This window comes from Homo sapiens, chromosome 1 (assembly GCF_000001405.40).
Source record: "Homo sapiens chromosome 1, GRCh38.p14 Primary Assembly".
In the NCBI taxonomy this organism is placed as follows: domain Eukaryota; kingdom Metazoa; phylum Chordata; class Mammalia; order Primates; family Hominidae; genus Homo; species Homo sapiens.
The window spans coordinates 222803411-222821793 of record NC_000001.11 but is presented as its reverse complement, the minus strand read 5'-3'; the positions used below and the strand labels follow the sequence as shown (position 1 = coordinate 222821793).

Below are 18383 nucleotides of genomic sequence, written 5' to 3'. Positions count from 1 at the left end.
AATTCTCCTGCCTCAGCCTCCTGAGTAGCTGGGATTACAGGTGCCCGCCACCACACCCGGCTAATATTTGTATTATTTTTAGCAGACACAGAGTTTCACCATGTTGGCCAGGCTGGTCTTGAACTCCTGACCTCAAGTGATCCACCCACCTCAGCCTCCCAAAGTGCTGCAATTACAGGCATGAGCCACTGCACCTGGCCGAAAACTGCCACTTTTAAACCATCAGATCTCATGAGAACTTCACTATCACGAGAACACCATAGGGCAAACCACTCCCATGATTCAATCACCTTCAACCAGGTCCCTCTCTTGATACATGGGGATTACAATTCGAGATGAGATTTGAATGGAGACACACAGCCAAACCGCATCACATTCCTAAGTGCTTTCATATCTTATGATGCATCATCCCAGAAAATGTCTTTTGTAACCAATTATCTTTGGAGCTGGCATCTGTCAAAATAGTTTATTTCTATTCAAATAGTTGTTTACTCAAAACCTGAAGGGAAGAACCCTTTAAATAGAAAAGTTACTTCACATGCTTGTGCTTTCCATTCCTCTTCCCAACCCCATCTGAATTAATTGGAGACAGCACTGTAGTTAAGAACATCACTTCAGTTTGAAGAGATGGAATCTGCAATGAAATACAGCCAAAAGGTGCATTGTTCATTCAAAAACAACAGGCCTGCTGATTACAGAGGTAGAGAAGTACTCTACATATGGCCAGAGACATGCACCTGCTTAGAAATGATAAACTTGAAGGCAAAAGCATGCCAAAGACCCGTGGGATGGATAAGCATATTTCTGGAGTCACAAAAAATAAAATAAAATAAGTTTAAAAAAATAAAAATAAAAAAGACCTGTGGGAGTAACATAAAGCTGTAGGAGAAAAAAGGGATCTCATTCTAGTGATGTCTTCTAGTAACACCCTCAGCCAGCCTGCATGATACAGTAAAATAAATGCTACAATTTCTTGAGTACTATGTGGCAGGCATTATGCTAAGCACATTATGTACATTATCTTGTATTTCCTATAATGACTATGTACGGTAGGTATTACTATGCATATTTTGCAGGTAAAGCATAAAGTTCAGTAACTTGCCTAAGGTTTCTTCTAACTGTGCTGAGGCTGCAAGTGAGCAACAAATGACAATTATTATTATTACCATAATTCAGCTCAAATTCATGCCTGAAACCTGGCAAGCTTCTAGAATATCCATTTATGTCCTATAATGTTCTATCCCCCAAGGAGTCCTTAAAATTCTCTTCTGGAGGGTTTCCAAGCACTTGGGTTCCAAAAGCACCATGCTTTTCTATCTTTAACTTCCTCCAGAAAGGAAGCCCTCTCAGTAACTTCTCTTGGTCCATGTGTTCCCTATCCTTAAGGTCTTTTCAAATATCCCCTGTGAATCACCCAATGGCTAGCTTGTGCTAACTTGCAAAATCCTTTCAAGCCCCATGGGTATCACACGTCACTATGTGCCCCAAGTAGTTACGTAGTTAGATATTTTATGATATATCTACTCTCTGCTCATCCTTCCCCTAATGTAACTGAATAGCCCGAATACCACCTCCATTCTCGTAACAATCAACTCATACTCCCTTAAATAGACACTCAAAATCACCCTCCTTACAGAAAATCTGCCCTTGATTAGCTTCACTTAACTATAACTACTTTTGTAGCTGAAAGGGCACTGGATTGAAAACAAGGAGATCTGGCCTCAAATTCTGGTTCTTCTACTAGCTATGGTAACTGGGTAAATCACTACACCTTTCTGGGACCCTTTTGGTGAACATAAATGAAAGGAATCAGGCTAAATAAGCACAAAACTAATTCCCAGATCTAAATATTTAAGCAAAAAGATTAACAAGAGCATAAACTTTAAAAATATAGTTACAAAATTAAAAAAAAATTTTAAACACCTTAAATTAAAAATATATATACAACATATTAGCTCGGCGCAGTGGCTCATGCCTGTAATCCCAGCACTTTGGGAGGCTGAGACAGGTGGATCACTTGAGGTCAAGAGTTCAAGACCAGCCAGGCCAACATGGTGAAACCCTGTCCCTGCTAAAAACACAAAAATTAGTCAGGCATGGTGGCGGGTGCCTGTAATCTCAGCTACTCTGGGAGGCTGAGGCAGGAGCATCGTTTGAACCCAGGAGGCGGAGCTTGCAGTGAGCTGAGATCGTGCCACTGCACTCCAGCCTAGGCAACACAGCGAGACACTGTGTCAAAAAAAAAAAAAAAAAAAGATATGTGTGTGTGTGTGTGTGTATGTATATAACATATTAAAACCACAAAAAAAGAGTAACTTTTAAATGTCAGAGAGTGGAGGGGCCATTAAATTGTCCATTTTCCATTCTTTGACATAATGAAAACCCAGATTTTCACTGTTTTTAAATCCCTTAAAAAGTAACTGGGCTATGAATTTTGATACTTTTATTAGTCCATTCTCACACAGCTATAAAGAACTACCTGAATGGGTAATTTATAAAGAAAAGAGGTTTAATTGGCTCACAATTCCACAGGCTGTACAGGAAGCATAGCTGGGGAAGCCTCAGGAAACTTACAATCATTGCAGAAGGCGAAGAGGAAACCAGTGTGTCCTACATGGCTGGAGCAGGAGAAACGACGAGCACAGGGGCAGGTGGGACACACTTTTAAACAACCAGATTTTGTGAGAACTCTATCATGAGACAACACTAGAGGGATGGTGCTAAACCATTAGAAACCACCTCCATGATCCAATCACCTACCACCAGACTCCACCTCTAACACTGAGAATTACAATTCGACATGAGATTTGGGTGGGGACACAGAGCCAAACCATATCAATATTCTCCTATTGACTATGCAACATTTTACACGCCACATATTAGTTTAATACAGCAAAAGTATTTTAAATGCTGTCATGGTTAGCCTTATGTGTCAACATGGTTAGGTTATAGCACCCAGGTATTTAATCAAACACCAATTTAGGTGTTGCTATAAACATATTTTGTAGATGTAGTTAATGTCTACAATCAGTTGACCTTAAGTAAAGGAGATTACCTTCCGTAATGTTGGTAGGACTCATCTAATCAGCTGAAGGCCTTAAGAGCAAAACCTGAGGTTTCCCAAAGAAGAAAGAATTCTGCCTCAAAACTACAGAATCAACTCCTGCCTAAATTTCCAGCCTGCTGGTCTGACCTACAAATTTTGTACTTGCCAACTCCCACAACTGCATGAGCCAATTTCTTAAAATAAATCTCTTTTAAAAATACACATATATATGTGATATTGGTCTGTTTCTCCGGAGAACCATAATTATACACTAACACAGTGAAAATCAAACTGGTACTATTTTGCTTCAAGAGGCTCCACCAGGTCATTCACACAAGAGGTGGGAGGCTCCACCAGGTCATTCACACAAGAGGTGGGAGGGATTCCCCTCCCAGCCCTCTCCAGGTAACAAAGGAGTGCATCATCTGTGTGGTATTCAAAAACTATAATAACAACTAAAAGTCTTTCTGCTGTATTATCACCAGGAGCTGGCAATTCTAAACCTCAGTGCTAAAATACTCTTTCCAACTATAGCAGACAGCTCCCACCATCAAGACCCCTAGTATGTCACTGGTAGTGGTCAACTTCCCCCACCCCCCCATGCAAATCATTTATCCAATAGTTCTTCTATTCCTTAGGCTCTCAAAATTAAAAACAAAACTAATAATAACAACAAAGGTTAAGGGCAATCAGTGTGTTTTCTACAATATTTGCCATTGTGAGTTATAGCCTATCACTTTAACAGAAAAGTTCATCTACAGTGTAATGTGATGCCTCACTCAAAGCAAAACTGAGTCTATTTATATAATCCAACAAATTATGATTTAGTATTAAAAGTATTTTTAAAACAATAACCTAAACAAGAGGTTCACAGTCATAACTACATGCCTATAGGCTGGAAAATGTGCCAAGATTTATGGGATCAGATTCAGCAGAATGGACAGGGCCCTACTAACAGGACTGCAGTGATTCATCCCCTTTTGAGTCACTCTGAGGCCCAAGTCATCTTGGTCACTATTGGAGAAAAGGTCTAACTCACCAGAGGAAAAGGACAGAAAGTATTACTAAAAGCAGTCAACCCTGTGTGAGTCAACCTCATTAAGGGCCATGCTTTTCATCAGAGGCAGTGCAGCAGCTGGACCTTAAGTTAACAGATCAGCAGTCTTTCGTAGCTCCTCATCCAAAAACTGTACTTCCCCATTGTAACAAATATTCTTGATTCTATCAAGTGGCAGGAAATGGCTTTCTAACTAGAGTATGCCGATAATTGAGAACGTACTATATAATCAGAAAATTGATAACCAAAGGGCATAGAAGCAACGAGCTCAACTTAGCAAATTATTTCGTATTTTACAAACTAGAGATTAAGGAAGACAAATGTATGTGTATATGAAGACAGTGTTTTGGTTATCACTATTTTGATAGTTCTTCCAATACAGACACTGTACATATTTCAGAAATAAAAAGAAATAGTGAATCTATAAAATAGCCAGCAGTTCGCTGTACTTAATCAAAAACTGCCATTATTGGTTAAACTGTAAAATACATCTAAATCCTACGGAATAACAAAAATAATTTATCTAGAGAGAAAGCTAAATTTACTAAACAATTAGAAGAAAGAATACAATTCCAAAGATTTTCCGGAATACAGGGCAATCCAACCTCAACATACCATTCATATATATAGCTAGCCCAACTTGCCCAAGAGGGCAAGTGCTCTTGTGTTTCAACAACGAGCACTTCCTCCAACCATGAACTAATGTCTAAAGACTTGCATGCTTTCTCAAGTGCTTTATTTCTCAAAAACCATGGGAAAAGGCGGAAGAAAAATAAAATCAAGTCTTATCAGATAAACAATATTGTCTACTTAAACAAATAAGATTAAATTGAGACATATACAGAAATTAACATGGCAGTTAATTCAATTACTTTAGAGATCAGTGTTATCTCTTCATTTTGTAATTTGAAAACTTATTCAATATGCTCATTTACATGTTAAGGCACTGTTTATGTTTAGGCCTTGCTTTACACTTGTAAATATCAGCAGTCCTCCTAAACATAAGGACGTTATAACTGTGTATTTCACTCAAGCACAGATATTCAAGGCCATCAAGAATTTATAAGCTAGCAAGATATCGCAGTACCAATAAATATAAAATGTTCTAGTTTTCCTGAATTAGTTCAAGTCAGACCACCAAATCAGATCTAAAAGTTACCTGTACTAATACAGTAATTTTTAAAACAAAAACTTCTAACATTTGAAATGTGAAACACCTGAAACAAGCAAAGCAATCATCAGATCTCACCCTCCATCAGTGACAGTGTTATGATTCTTCCTAGCTACCTTGCTCACTTTGTGGCAAAAATCCAATTCACTTACTACCTACTTAAAAGCTAGGAGAATCTTTGTAATTACACTGAGTGAAACACTATATTATGTAGATTAGGAAGCACATATTAATCACATCCAATAAAACATAAATGCAAGGTAAATAATAACTAAATCAATAATTACCTTTGGTAATAATAATGAGCCCACATACCAAACACTGGCCACTGGGGAAAACTAAATGTGCTAATGTGCGTGTAACAACAGATCTTGGGTTATCAATATTTTTAAAAAACACTGACAATGGCAAATATTTATATATATATATATATATATATATATATATTTCCTTACAGCAGAAATAAAAAGGAACAGTAAAATCTTAAGAACTGCTAGTAATTTGCTGCACCCTGATGTAAAATTGCCTTTATTGGTTAAACTAAAAGACTAAACCCAACAAAATAGCTTTTAGAAAAAATGTGTTAGAAAGTTGGACAGAAAAACAATGAGTTGAAACTGCAAACATTGACAGCACTGGCTTTCCATGTGATTATCACCATAATTCTGAACGCATTTAGTTCATCCCATGACAAGGGAAATAAGACAAGCTAAACTCTGCAGGGTAGAGAAGAGTCCAAAAGGAAAACTTTGGTTGTCTTCCTTGGGTGAAGAGAACTCTCAACTACTATCAGTTTGACAAAGACACGCAGAATCTGGGTGAAGCAAGAATTCGAGCGGTCCCTAGGAATATACAATATTTTCCCGAAATCCACACGCGCGGAGCGGGATATATTTCTAAAAACAAAAAACAAACTGCATGAATTGCAAATGAAGCAATAGGAGTTCAGCATCCAATAGGTGGCTGGTCATCTTTCTGGTTCGTTAGGTCAAGACGTCCTTCTCACCTACGACCCTCAGAGAAGGACTGACTCCCTCCTCTGTAACCTCTCCCTGGAAGCCAACCTTTGCCATCTCCTGCCATCCTCTCAGTCAATCCGCCAGGACCCGGGACACGCCCCCACGAATGACTACTTTCCTCCGAGATGCAACTCTGCCCCGTGTCATCCGCAACCTCCAGTCTCAGGGCCTCTTTGGCCTCAGGGTCCCCGGTGCCTCCCTCCTCAGTCCCTAAAGGCTGCCCTTAGGGCTCTCCTGGTTCCCCGTTCTCAGTCCTGGCCCTTCTCTCAAGCCTGGGGTCCCGGATTTCCCTCCACACGCGCGGGAGATGCCGACTCTCCCGTCCCTACCCGGTCTCCCAGTCCCGCGGCGCCGGGCGGCGGCGCGCCGAAAGGCATCCACTGAGGAAACAAGTGCCTGCAACGTTCCGGCTGCGAACTCACCTCCAGTCCGGGCTCTCGGATGCTGGCCCGGAGCCGGGCTTCCGCCTGGCGCGGTCCGCGTCGCGAGCGGGACCGGAAGTCCCGCCCCTCGCCCGCTCCCGGCCCGCTCCCGGCCCGCTGGCCTCGCTTGACTACCGCTCCCCGGGAGAGGGATCGCCGGCGGCGGGCGACGGGCGGCTGGCAAGGGGCAGAGGGCAGAGGGGCTTGGCTTGAAAGGGCGAGGCAGGCGCCAAAAAAATTCCCTCTCGCGCTCCTGCTCTTTCTAGTGTATCCATCGACCAGTGTGCAAATGCTTGACCAAGCGTCTATTCTGCCCAAGCCCAGTGAGGCACAAGATGACTCAGACACTGACCTCTGTCCTCACAATCTAGTTAAAAGTTGACATAAGTAAAAACAGAAGTAAATCACGCCACAAGACAGTGTTTCTTCTTTCATTATTCAGATTATTATCACCTGCTATATAGGCCTGTGAACAACCAGGCACTGCTGTAGGGGCTGGGGATAGAGCGAACAGAGGACAGCCCCACTCTCGTGAGGCTTACACTCAGGGCGAGGAACTAGCTATAGAATAAATCGAACAGCGGCGGCTCCCTCGGGAGGCTTATGCACAGAAACAAAAATATATAAGCAATGAAACCATCAAGTGTTAGAGGCACTCTGGTGGTGCTGTAGGGAACGGTGCAATGTAGAGAGCTGGGCGGAGAAGGCTTTCTAGAAATAATGACTCTTCAATTGAGACTGAAATAAATGATGAATAAGAGTTAAAGGACAGGCACAGTGGAGAAGGGCATGCAGAGAAGAAGGACGTTATGGAGTGAGAGCTTGGCTTGTACCGGTAGCTGGCCAGGAGTTAAGCAAAGTGTCAGATGGCAGATGCAAGAGCAAGCATAATGAGAAGAGACAAGGCCAAATCATGAAGAACGTTGTGCCCTATGCTTAAAAATTTTGGACTTCAGAGACTCCGTGCAACGGAATCCGTGGGGTCATCTAAGGGAATAGACAAAACAGTGAGTCATGGGGTTGACTAGGGGGATTGTCCTAGTCATCAAAGAAAAATAATACATCATGAATAGCATGTTTTATCCTTGAGGGTGCTTTCTTGAACTGCCATACCCAGATGTAAAGGCAATAGACGGCTACCACAACCCTATAAAGGCAGGACCACAAGGGATCATACCCCTCAGGTTGCTGCATTGAGCAAATCACCCCAACCAACTGAGATGCTAACTGAAGTCACAGGGAACTATGGAATGGGCCCAGAAGAAAGAAGCTTCAACACCAGCTACAGTAATGAGGACTGTTGCATTTTTTGTTTGTTTTCTTTGCTACCAGTGTTTAATAAATACTCTCTTGCACACCAAGCCCTTTCTTTGCCTTTTTAAAAAGGAATGGTATAATACATACATTTTTCTTTTTTTCTCCTTTTGCCAGCAAAAGGCCATACATTGCAATATATGGAGATAGGATTACAGTAGAAGAAAATGAGGAATGGATATCGTGTAGAAAGTCTGTACTTAGAGGGCATAACATCAACTCTAAGTGAAGTAAAAGGTCACGCGTTTGGGTTTTCTCCCATTGGGAAGGTTAGTAGTCCATTTGTGGTGATACTTGAAATAACTGATTCACATAGCGGCAAGGTGTATTTTTGAAAGGATGGAAAGAAGAGAGTGTGTATGTGGTGTGATGTGGGGGGTGTGTGTGTGTGTGTGTGTGTGTGTGTGTGTGCCCACGCTGGGTGCCAAGAAGTAGAATGTAATAGACACTCTGTGAAATGTTTCCTTATAGCTTCTCACAATTCCTTTTTTTGTAGGAATGGCTGAAATACATAGAGGCAGTCCTTTTATGGGCCACATATGCACAAGCGACCATGTCCTAGTGTGACCAGCTACTCTGGTTTGCTAAAGACAGGGGGATACCAGGATGCTGGACTTTCGGTGCTTAAACTGGGATAGTTTTGCGAAAACTGAGACAAGTTGGTTGCGCTACCATGTCCCTTGTCTACATAACAGATTAATTCAGAGGTGGGCATATCCTAAACCAGACCATTTAGACTCTTTGCCCCAGAAATCTTAAATGAGGCATAGAGAAACACAGAGAGAATATAGTTACTCAGTAGAACTGAGTCACAAATGGCAGTTCCCTAAAGAAAAAATCTATTAACACCCTTTGCCAAAGATCCAGGACCTGCCCTGTTTCCTTTGGTTATAGGAGATATCCCTGTATAATTCCAAAACTTTTTTTTTTTTGGCTAGTCAAAGAAGATTGCTGCTGCTTGCAACCAAAATAATCTTAAGGAGCATATTCATTTCCAATCCTTGTTTAAGATAATGTGCTCCAAGAGTCTCTTCTGAATGGGCACTGAGCTGAACGAACCATACTCATTGCCACAGCAAACCAGACCAAATATGAACACTGAACTCAAACAGGCCTAGAAAGTCTCACATGCATGGATTTTGCAATGCACATATAGGGCTCCACTCTTGCATGCTAAATTAGAAATGTCCAAACCTAGAATTAGGTTAGGCATGAGTAAGATGTTCAAAACTGATGGGAAAAGGGGGAAAGCAACAGGAATGATGAGAAGGAAATAAGGATAAGGAGAGAAAGATGGAAAAAGAGAAGACTTATCTGAGAGGTGAACATCTTAGTTCCCTTCTTTTCAGTTTCTGATTCCCCAGTCCCTTATGAGATCCAGCTAAATGTTCTGCCCTTAAGTTCTACGAAAATTCCGTGTCCTTCCAGTAAACCCCCCATTTGGTTAAGAATCATTTTAGTAGGTTTCCCCTCCTAGCAATCAAACCCCAAGACATCAATTCACAAGACACAAGGTTGCCCACTCATTCTATAGCATGCACCAGAGTTCTGGAGCCACTTTCTCTCCTCAGACTCAAGAACAGGAGAAGGATTTGCACACCTCCATGGCTGCCTGGTCCATTCAGGAAAACTGTCACAATTACCATGGGTTAGATGACTTTAACTATTAAAATCACACAGGTGGGGAGAATCATGCAATCAGAGTGTAAAGTGGAAGGAGACTTTGGAAACCATGCATGTCAACAGAGGAAGGAACTAATGCCCTTCCAGCTAGGCATAGTGGTTTTCCTAAGGCTAAATAGTTCAGTAGTCCCAGAGACAGGATTAGCTAACAATCTCGTCTCTCAACAACTGAGGAAACTACTGTGAAATCCTTGAAAGTGCACTATTCAGTCTCCTCCCACTCAGCTCCTGATCTTTGGAGTTTACCCACATCTGTATAATGGCATCAGCCTGACTGCGGAACTGTGAGAGCTGTTCAAAAGCCATTTGTGGGTGACAGTAGATAGTGAATATGTTAATCTGAATCAGGAGAGAAAATTTTAAGGAAAATTTTCCTACTTTTTTTTTCCGTACTCGCCAACTGGCTCAAACAGGTAGATGGGTTAATTAACAGAGCTAATAAGGTTAGTTATTCATAAAGTTTATTTACACATTCTACATTCTCTTTAGTTCATACATGGGTATATGTCGTTTCCTTACTTTTTTTTTTTACCACCAACATAAACATCGATATATTTGCAGTTATGTCTAAAACTATATCCTCGTCCCTTTGTAATTTAGTGGCAATTTACTAAATTACTACTAAATCCAGTAATTTAGAAATTTGTGGCAAAATCAACTAGTCTACACTTGGAAGCAATCACAACACCAAACTTGCATTAATTACAGATTATGAAATGAGTGATAAATAAGGTCAGCCAGGGATCTCCAATTAATAATTCCTAACTCTTCTGCAGCTTATTAAAGGCCAGATATTTTCTATGAAGATCTTAACATCTCTTACATAAAGTGAAAAATTAATTACTAAATTTAAAGTGCCATTTCCTTCCTAATGATGTGCAAATATTACTCACCGTCATCATCTCCAGAAATTTGGCACTGTTGTCCAGGCTGGAGTGCAGTGCTGCAATCTGGGCTTACTGCAGTCTCTATCTCCTGGGCTCAAGCCGTCCTTTGACCTCAGCCTCCTGAGTAGCTGGGACTACAGGCATGCAACACCATGTTTGGCTAATTTTTGTATTTTTTTTTAAGAGATGGGGGTCTTCTTATGTTGCCCAGGCTAGTCTCGATCTCCTGGGGTCAAGCGATCCTCTTGCCTCAGCCTCCCAAACTGTTGGGATTACAGGCATGAGCCCCCGCACCCAGCCCAGAAATTTTTCATCTTCCCAAAAATGATACTTTGTATCCATTAAACAATAATTCTCCATTTCCTTCTCCCCTCAGTGTTTTGATGTAATTTTATGTTTGTATATCCTGCAAAAACATTTTTAGCACTGATTCATATCTTCTTGAAGTAAATACATTTCTAATAGAAATAATATTTTGCCCTTTTCAGCTCTTTTCTCCTGTGGAATCCAAATAAAACATGTGATTTCCACAGGGATGCCGTTCTGCTTCAGACCTCTTTAAGAGCTAAACCAATGGAAATTCCATGTGTAAAAGAAACATAACAGGGAGACTTGGCATGATACTCATTAACTAAAAATCTGGGTGGATGTGTTCCTAAGGATTTTTATTCAAGTTAATACTTTTGAACTCCAATCCTGCTTGTTTCTCTGCAAAAGCAATGGGCATTCCACGTGTTTGATTGGTGCACAAGCCTCACTTCATTTTCCTCCCAGGAAAATCAAAACTAAGCAGAGATACTGCCGCCAGAGAAAGCTTCACCTGCTAAATTCCACAGCGACTAATAAAACAAGCCTTTGTTTTTCAGTAAAAATTTCACTCCATGGTTGGTAACTAAAATAGACCCGCAGCTCTAATCCTAACTTGGAAATCTCACCAGTAGGTAAGTAACAGAATGAATTTTCAGTTCTGTGTCTCAGTGATAAGAAACATATTTCCTAAAACAGAATTAACTACAGGCTGGGAATATTGAGGCAAAACTTTTCCTGTAGAAACAATGGATTCATGCCTTAAAGGGGGCTACACCTTCTCTACTTCTCTAGTTAGTGAGAAGTCACTTCTTTTATTTTTAGCATTCTCTTAAAAACTTTTAAAATCAAACAATAAAGCACAGGTTGATTATAGTTGCCTTGAGTAGACATGGTAGAACCATAGCAGGTTATTTCTTTTCTTTTTTTTTTTTTTTTTTTTTGAGACGGAGTCTCACTTTGTCACCCAGGCTGGAGTGAAGTGGCATGATCTCAGCTCACTGCAACCTCCACCCCCGGGGTTCAAGCAATTCTCCTGCCTCTGCCTCCCGAGTAGCTGGGATTACAGGTGCCCGCCACCACGCCTGGCTAATTTTTGTATTTTTAGTAGAGACGGGGTTTCACCATGTTAGCCAGGCTGGTCTCAAACTCCTGACCTCAGGTGATCCACCCACCTCGGCCTCCCAAAGTGCTAGCATTATAGCAGGATTATAGGCCTGAGCCACCACGCCTGGCCAGCAGGTTATTTCTGATTCCTCTGAATTTTTGTCCTGAGAGGGACCTTCTCTGCATTGCAAATACTCACTGCCCAGAAAAAATGCCCTGCACATAGAGTTGCAAGATAAAATATACTAAAATATACGATACTCAGTTAAATTCGAATTTCAGATTATTTTGTAGCATAAGTGTGTCCCCAATATCACACAGGATATACTTATGGTAAGAAATTTCTCATTGCTTATCTGAAATTATATTTAACTGGGTGTCCTGCATTTTTATTTGCTCAACCTGGCCAAACCCTGCTTACACACAAGTAAGTTTCTTTAAATATTTCTAAAGGAAAGTTTCCTTAAATATAATTAATGCAATTCCCCTAACCCCATCAAAAGTGTGAAAAGAACATTGGACTGTCAATATACTATATAACTATCTAGCATTGTATACTTTTATTATTTCGTAATAAAAAACAGAAGCAAGACCAAAGGTCTGGGATGAGTATTAAGAATTAAACAGAAAGTGGGCCAGGTGTGGTGGCTCACGCCTGTAATCTCAGCACTTTGGGAGGCTAAAGTGGGCAGATCACAAGATCAGGAGATGGAGACCATCCTGGCCAACCTGGTGAAACCCTGTCTCTACTAAAAATACAAAAATTAGCTGGGTGTGGTGGTGTGTGCCTTTAATCCCAGCTACTCGGGGGGCTGAGGCAGGAGAATCACTTGAACCCGGGAGTCGGAGGTTGCAGTGAGCCAAGATCGTGCCACTGCACTCCAGTCTGGCAACAGAATGAGACTCCATCTTAAAAAAAAAAAAAGAATTGAACAGTAAGTGTGTAAGACTGAATCAGAGAAACTGATCTGGTTTCCATATAGCTATAAGATTAATAACTTATGGATCGGGTGTTATTTAGTATGGTAGTCTAGGACATTGCTTTCTCAGAGTGGACAAATGCTATCCAACAACCAATATCTTCATGTAATCACTCTTGAAGTGCTTTTCTGTGGATTTTTAAGGTCATGTTTTATTATTTTTTATCAATTTTTTTCTCATGGCAGTCAAATAAGAATTTTGGTATTGGAGGAGTACATCCCAAATAATGTTGGAGGGATTTATGTGGCATTTATGGAAAATGGAACATTGAGACTACATTTACAAATAAACATACAGAAATTGCTGACTTTTCTCTACACACCCACATCAACATTCGCTCCAGCAGAGCCAAACTGCATATAGTTTCTGAGACATCACTGCTGCCCTGACTCAAAGTCTTGTCTACATATGTCCTCTATGCTTCCAACCCTTGAGGCCTCAAAGTGAAGGTCCTTGCAAATGTCCTCTCTCCACCCCAGGTCATGCTTTTTCACCTAAACACAAAGGGTCACTGCTGAAACCCAATTCCGCAACTTCTGTTTGTGAAGCACCTCCTTCAGTTTCTTCCTGCAGCCCCTCTCTACATGGGAGAGAGATCAGTAACATCGAAGACAGACACCATATTATCCTTATTAGCTTTATTAGCTTCTTGCCCAAAAGAACATTCTTCTTCTTCCTCAACAAAGCATCGGCTCATCCATCTAGTCATTTAACAAACATTCAGAGAGTGTCTACTGTTCTAGATGCTGGGGACACATTGGTGAACAAAAGACAACAACTTCTGCTGTGATGGTTAATTTTAGGTATCGACTTGATTAAGAAATACCTAGATAGCTGGTAAAGCATTACTTTTAGGTGTGTCTGTGAGGGTGTTTCCATTAGTATACTGAGTGGTGAAGATCCACCCTCAACATAGGCAGGCACCGTCCAATCTTCTGAGGGCCTAGAGAGAGGCAAAAAGGCAGAGCAAAGGTGCATTCACTGTCTCTCCTGAAGCTGGGATACCCTTCTTCTCCTGCCCTGGAACATCAGAACTCCAGGTTCTCTGGCCTTTAGACGCTGAGACTTGCACCAGCCGTTCCCTGGGTTCTCAGGCCTTTGGCCTCAGACTGAGAGGCCATTGACTTCACTGGTTCTGAGGGTTTCAGATTTGTACCCAGCCATGCTACCTGCATCCCTGGGTTTCCAGCTGGCAGATAGTCTATCATGGGCCTTCTCAGCCTTCATAATCACGTAAGCCAGTTCCTCTAATAAATCCCTTCTCATCTAGCTAGATAGCTCTCTCCTGTTTGTTCTGGCTATCTAGAAAATTAGGGCTAATATACCTACTCTTGCAGAGTTTACATTCTAATTGGAGGAGACAGAAAATAATAAACCAATAAATAAATATGTTATAACTAAATATATTCATGTATCTAGCATGATGATAAATATTTATTTATTATAATTTAGCATGCTTAATTAACATAATGATAAATACTTTGGGAAAAAAATAGAGCAAAATAAAAAGGCAGGGGTGGGAGTAGCAATTGCAGTCATCAAGAAGTGACACTGGAGCCGGGCGCGGTGGCTCAAGCCTGTAATCCCAGCACTTTGGGAGGCCGAGGCGGGCGGATCACGAGGTCAGGAGATCGAGACCATCCTGGCTAACATGGTGAAACCCGTCTCTGCTAAAAATACAAAAAAATTAGCCAGACGTGGTGGCAGGCGCCTGTAGTCCTAGCTACTCGGGAGGCTGAGGCAGGAGAATGGTGTGAACCCAGGAGTTGGAGCTTGCAGTGAGCCGAGATCGCGCCACTGCACTCCAGCCTGGACGACAGAGCAAGACTCCATCTCAAAAAAAAAAACAAAAGTGACATTGGAGCAGAGGCTTGAAGAAAGTGAAAAAAAAGTGACTGGGCACGGTGGCTCATGCCTGTAATCCCAGCACTTTGGGAGGCCGAGGTGAGCAGATCACTTGAGGTCAAGAGTTTGAGACCAGCCTCACCAGCATGGTGAAACCCAGTCTCTACTAAAAATACAAACATTTGCCAGGTGTGGTGGTGCGCACCTGTAATCTCAGCTACTCGGGAGGCTGAGGCAGGAGAATCGCTTGAACCTGGGAGGCGGAGGTTGCAGTGAGCCAAGATTGCACCACTGCACTCCAACCTAGGTGACAGAGCAAGACTCCATCTCCAAAGAAAGGAAAGGAAGAAAGGAAGAAAGAAAGGCAAGGAAGAAAGAAAGAAAGAAGGAAGGAAGGAAGGAAGGAAAAAAAAAGCATGTCTGAGGAAAAGTATTCCATGCAGAAAGAATAACCAGAGACCAGGCGTGGTGGCTCACGCTTGTAATCCCAGCACTTTGGGAGGCCGAGGTGGGTGGATCACCTGAGGTCAGGAGTTCGAGACCAGCCTGGCCAACATGGTGAAACCCTGTCTCTACTAAAAACACAAAACATTAGCGGGGTGTGGTGACTTGCACACCTGTAATCCCAGCTACTCAGGAAGCTGAGGCATGAGAATCCCTTGAACCCGGGAGGTGGAGGTTGCAGTTAGCTGAGATTGCACCATTGCACTCCAGCCTGGGTACAGAGCTAGATTCAGTGAGAAGTGAAGGGAAGGGGCAGGATGGGAAGGGAGGGGAGGGGAGGAGATGGGATTGGAGGGGAGGGGAGGGAACAAGGAAGGAACAGGGCAAAGACCCTGAAGCAAGAACACACAAATCAAATTCTGGATATCCAGTTCTCTAGAATGCAACATGTTCAAACATGTTTCAGTTCCAGCTTAGGCCTAGACTGAACCTCCTGCTAGAAAGCTTGAGCTGCTTGCATCTCTGTCTGCACAAGTCAGTCCAATGGACATTTCTTCTTTGCCAGTTGCTGTCCAGTAGACTTTGCCAATAGGGGGCAAAAGAAGGATACTGAAAGCAGACAGAGAAGGGACATTCTCTTTCCTGTCTGCTTCCTTTTTCCTATTGGCATCACCTGGAATGGCCCTTCTCCTTGGGAATGGCTATCAGGACCAGTTTCCAGCTTTTACCCTACTTCCAAAACCAACTTCATCAGGTCCCCAAGAGTACCTGCTACTGAAAGGTGGCCCCTCCTCAGAGTCCCAGGCACCACTTCTGCAGCCCCTGCTCTTCCCTTTGTTCCTCCAGCCCTAGAGATGTGAGCTGCTTCCTGCAGCTTCTGTCTCTCTATGACCTCAGTGACCCCTCTTGCCTTTTCAGTTGTCCATCACTCACTTAGCCAATTCCCAATACTGAATTCACTGTGTTATGATAACTAATGTGGTTTCTTTTTATTGATATGGGGAGCTAGGAGGTAAACTTCCTGAAGCCACAAACAATGTTTTATTTGTCTCCGACTCCAAGCAATTAGCATGAAACCTAGCATATAATAGAGATCAATAAAGATTTGTTGAATAAATAGTGAACAAATGTCATATCTGCTCACTGGCAAAGTAAATTCAGACAAATTCCTGGACACTTAACACCCAACCCCAACTTTCCCATTAAGTATTCAGAAAATTGCCTTGGCTTGCCTTGTCAGGGCCTTAATGTGAACAGCAACCTCCACCCCTCATTCCCATCAACCACACAGAGGCAGTCTGTGCCAGTCAGGAGGGAACACACGGAGAATGCAGGCAGGAACAACCACGTCCTTAGGCAGACCACCATTAGTCTGTGGAGATTTTAAAAGAAGAAGAGAGTGTTTGGGTTCAAATGATTTACTCAAGTCATTTGAGATTGGCCCACTGCCCACCCAAACTCTGGCAAACATGAGCCACTTTCTGACAGGGATTCATAGCAAGACACTGAGTGGCTTATTTTCGTTTGGTCAGAAAATATAAAAGAACATCTCTCTGGGAATACCTGTGCATGAAGGAAATACCATGCCACATTTTAAATGCTAGATTATATTTCTACTAGGAAATTTAGTTGTAATAAAAATGAAGTAAATGATACTTGAAAGTAGAGCAGAGTTGCATAGGGGCTTGCATGAATGAGCATGCAATAAATATTTGCCAAGTTCTTCTATTGCCACTCTTTATCAAAGTTCTGATTTATGATGAAATCATTCGAGAGAACTCAGAATGCTTTGCATCCCACAGCAAGCATATAAGAGATAAAATTTTGACACAGTATGTTTTTTGATGTACTTTTCCATCCTGGCAGCTGTCTCAATATAAACTCTTCTGTTTGAATTATTATAACAGCCTCCAGACTGGACTTCTTGCCACTAGCTGTGAGCCACACTCCACATTGCTATCAGTTATTTTTCTAAAACTCCCTTACTTAGTTCAAATCCCAGTTTTGTCCACTACTATCTGTGTGGTCTTAAGTAACTTACCTAACCTCTCTGTGCCTCAGTTTCATCATCTTAAAATGGGGATGATAATAGTTCTTACCTCATAGGGTTGGTACAAAGTCTAAGTTAATGTATCTAAAATACTTAGGACAATGCCCACCACATTGAAACTGCAATATAAGTGATAGCTATTATTATTACAGTTGGAAGCACTAGTTGGCTTCATGTTGCTTATGGGATAAAATCCAATTCCTTAACAGATATGGGTTTTCCTACTCAGAACCACCAGTTATCTTTCCAGACTCATCCTGTATCTTTTCCCTCGCTACCTCTCCCCCAAATTACCTATCTTCTCATCCCTTCTGACAAAATCTAGTTTTCTCTTTAGAGCTTCCATGAAACAGACCTCCAACCACCCTGTCTTTCCAGTCTCTTCTTACTGAGTTTCTTTGCATGTGTTTTGCTTTGTACCTGGAATGTCTTCCTTCTGCCTCTTCAACTGTTATACTCCTACTCAACCTTCAGGACCATCACAAATGTGACCCTATGAATCCTCCCAATGGCCTCCAAGAGGAGGTAATGAGTCTTGTCCTCTGGCCTCATCCACGGCTTCATATCTCTGCAGTGTTAATGACCATATTATATGCTATATTTACGCATTTACATAGCTGTCTCTTCCCACAGTAATTTACATTCCTGGAGGGCAGGAAGTATACCCCAAAAGATGACTGTGCTTTCCAGTGATTGACATAGTTTGTGTCTGATAAATGACAAAGAGATAAACAAATCAACACATGAATCAACGGGGGGAAAAAAAGCCATTCAAAACAGGCAGAATTGTCCATTTTTTGAGATCTCCAAACAGAAGTGAATGACGATCTTCCACCATTGCTTTAATGAGAAGTGGGTGAGTGTGGGCCAGATGACCTAACTTCTGACTCTAAGATTCCAAGAGAATCTGCAATAAAGTTTGTGTATGTGTGTTAGTGTATTTTGCTTAATATAAATGAAGTCAAATTGGACTCTAATGTTATTATTTTATTTTACACCATTGAATTTTTAAACTAAGAAGGTATATTTAAATACACACACACACACACAC

General features: G+C 41.7%; 1 protein-coding gene across 59 annotated transcripts in view, besides 4 other annotated features; it reads right to left on the bottom strand.

The window, feature by feature from the left end:
* DISP1 (dispatched RND transporter family member 1) overlaps window positions 1–6755 on the bottom strand; it is a 190957-nt gene extending 184202 nt beyond the window's left edge. For 35 of the 59 annotated variants that reach the window (NR_165128.1, NR_165131.1, NR_165117.1 and 32 more), the window contains exon 1: window positions 6716–6755. The gene's annotated coding sequence lies outside the window, so the exon portion shown is untranslated. Of the gene's footprint in view, window positions 1–6338; window positions 6438–6622 lie in introns of those variants that run through there. The other 24 variants (NR_165150.1, NR_165152.1, NR_165154.1 and 21 more) reach the window with 3 other exon arrangements.
* Window positions 6795–6894: a silencer, noted in NCBI's record as "silent region_1839". NCBI's record gives its function as "represses an Ori minimal core promoter by ATAC-STARR-seq in GM12878 lymphoblastoid cells {active_cell/tissue: GM12878}" and the evidence as "EXISTENCE:reporter gene assay evidence [ECO:0000049][PMID:35858748]".
* Window positions 6985–7064: a silencer, noted in NCBI's record as "silent region_1838". NCBI's record gives its function as "represses an Ori minimal core promoter by ATAC-STARR-seq in GM12878 lymphoblastoid cells {active_cell/tissue: GM12878}" and the evidence as "EXISTENCE:reporter gene assay evidence [ECO:0000049][PMID:35858748]".
* Window positions 7305–7364: an enhancer, noted in NCBI's record as "active region_2585". NCBI's record gives its function as "activates an Ori minimal core promoter by ATAC-STARR-seq in GM12878 lymphoblastoid cells {active_cell/tissue: GM12878}" and the evidence as "EXISTENCE:reporter gene assay evidence [ECO:0000049][PMID:35858748]".
* Window positions 16472–16641: an enhancer, noted in NCBI's record as "experimental_5246 CRE fragment used in MPRA reporter constructs". NCBI's record gives its function as "activates a minimal promoter by MPRAs in K562 erythroleukemia cells, with activity observed for both the introgressed and non-introgressed 1:222978580 variant alleles {active_cell/tissue: K562}" and the evidence as "EXISTENCE:reporter gene assay evidence [ECO:0000049][PMID:34662402]".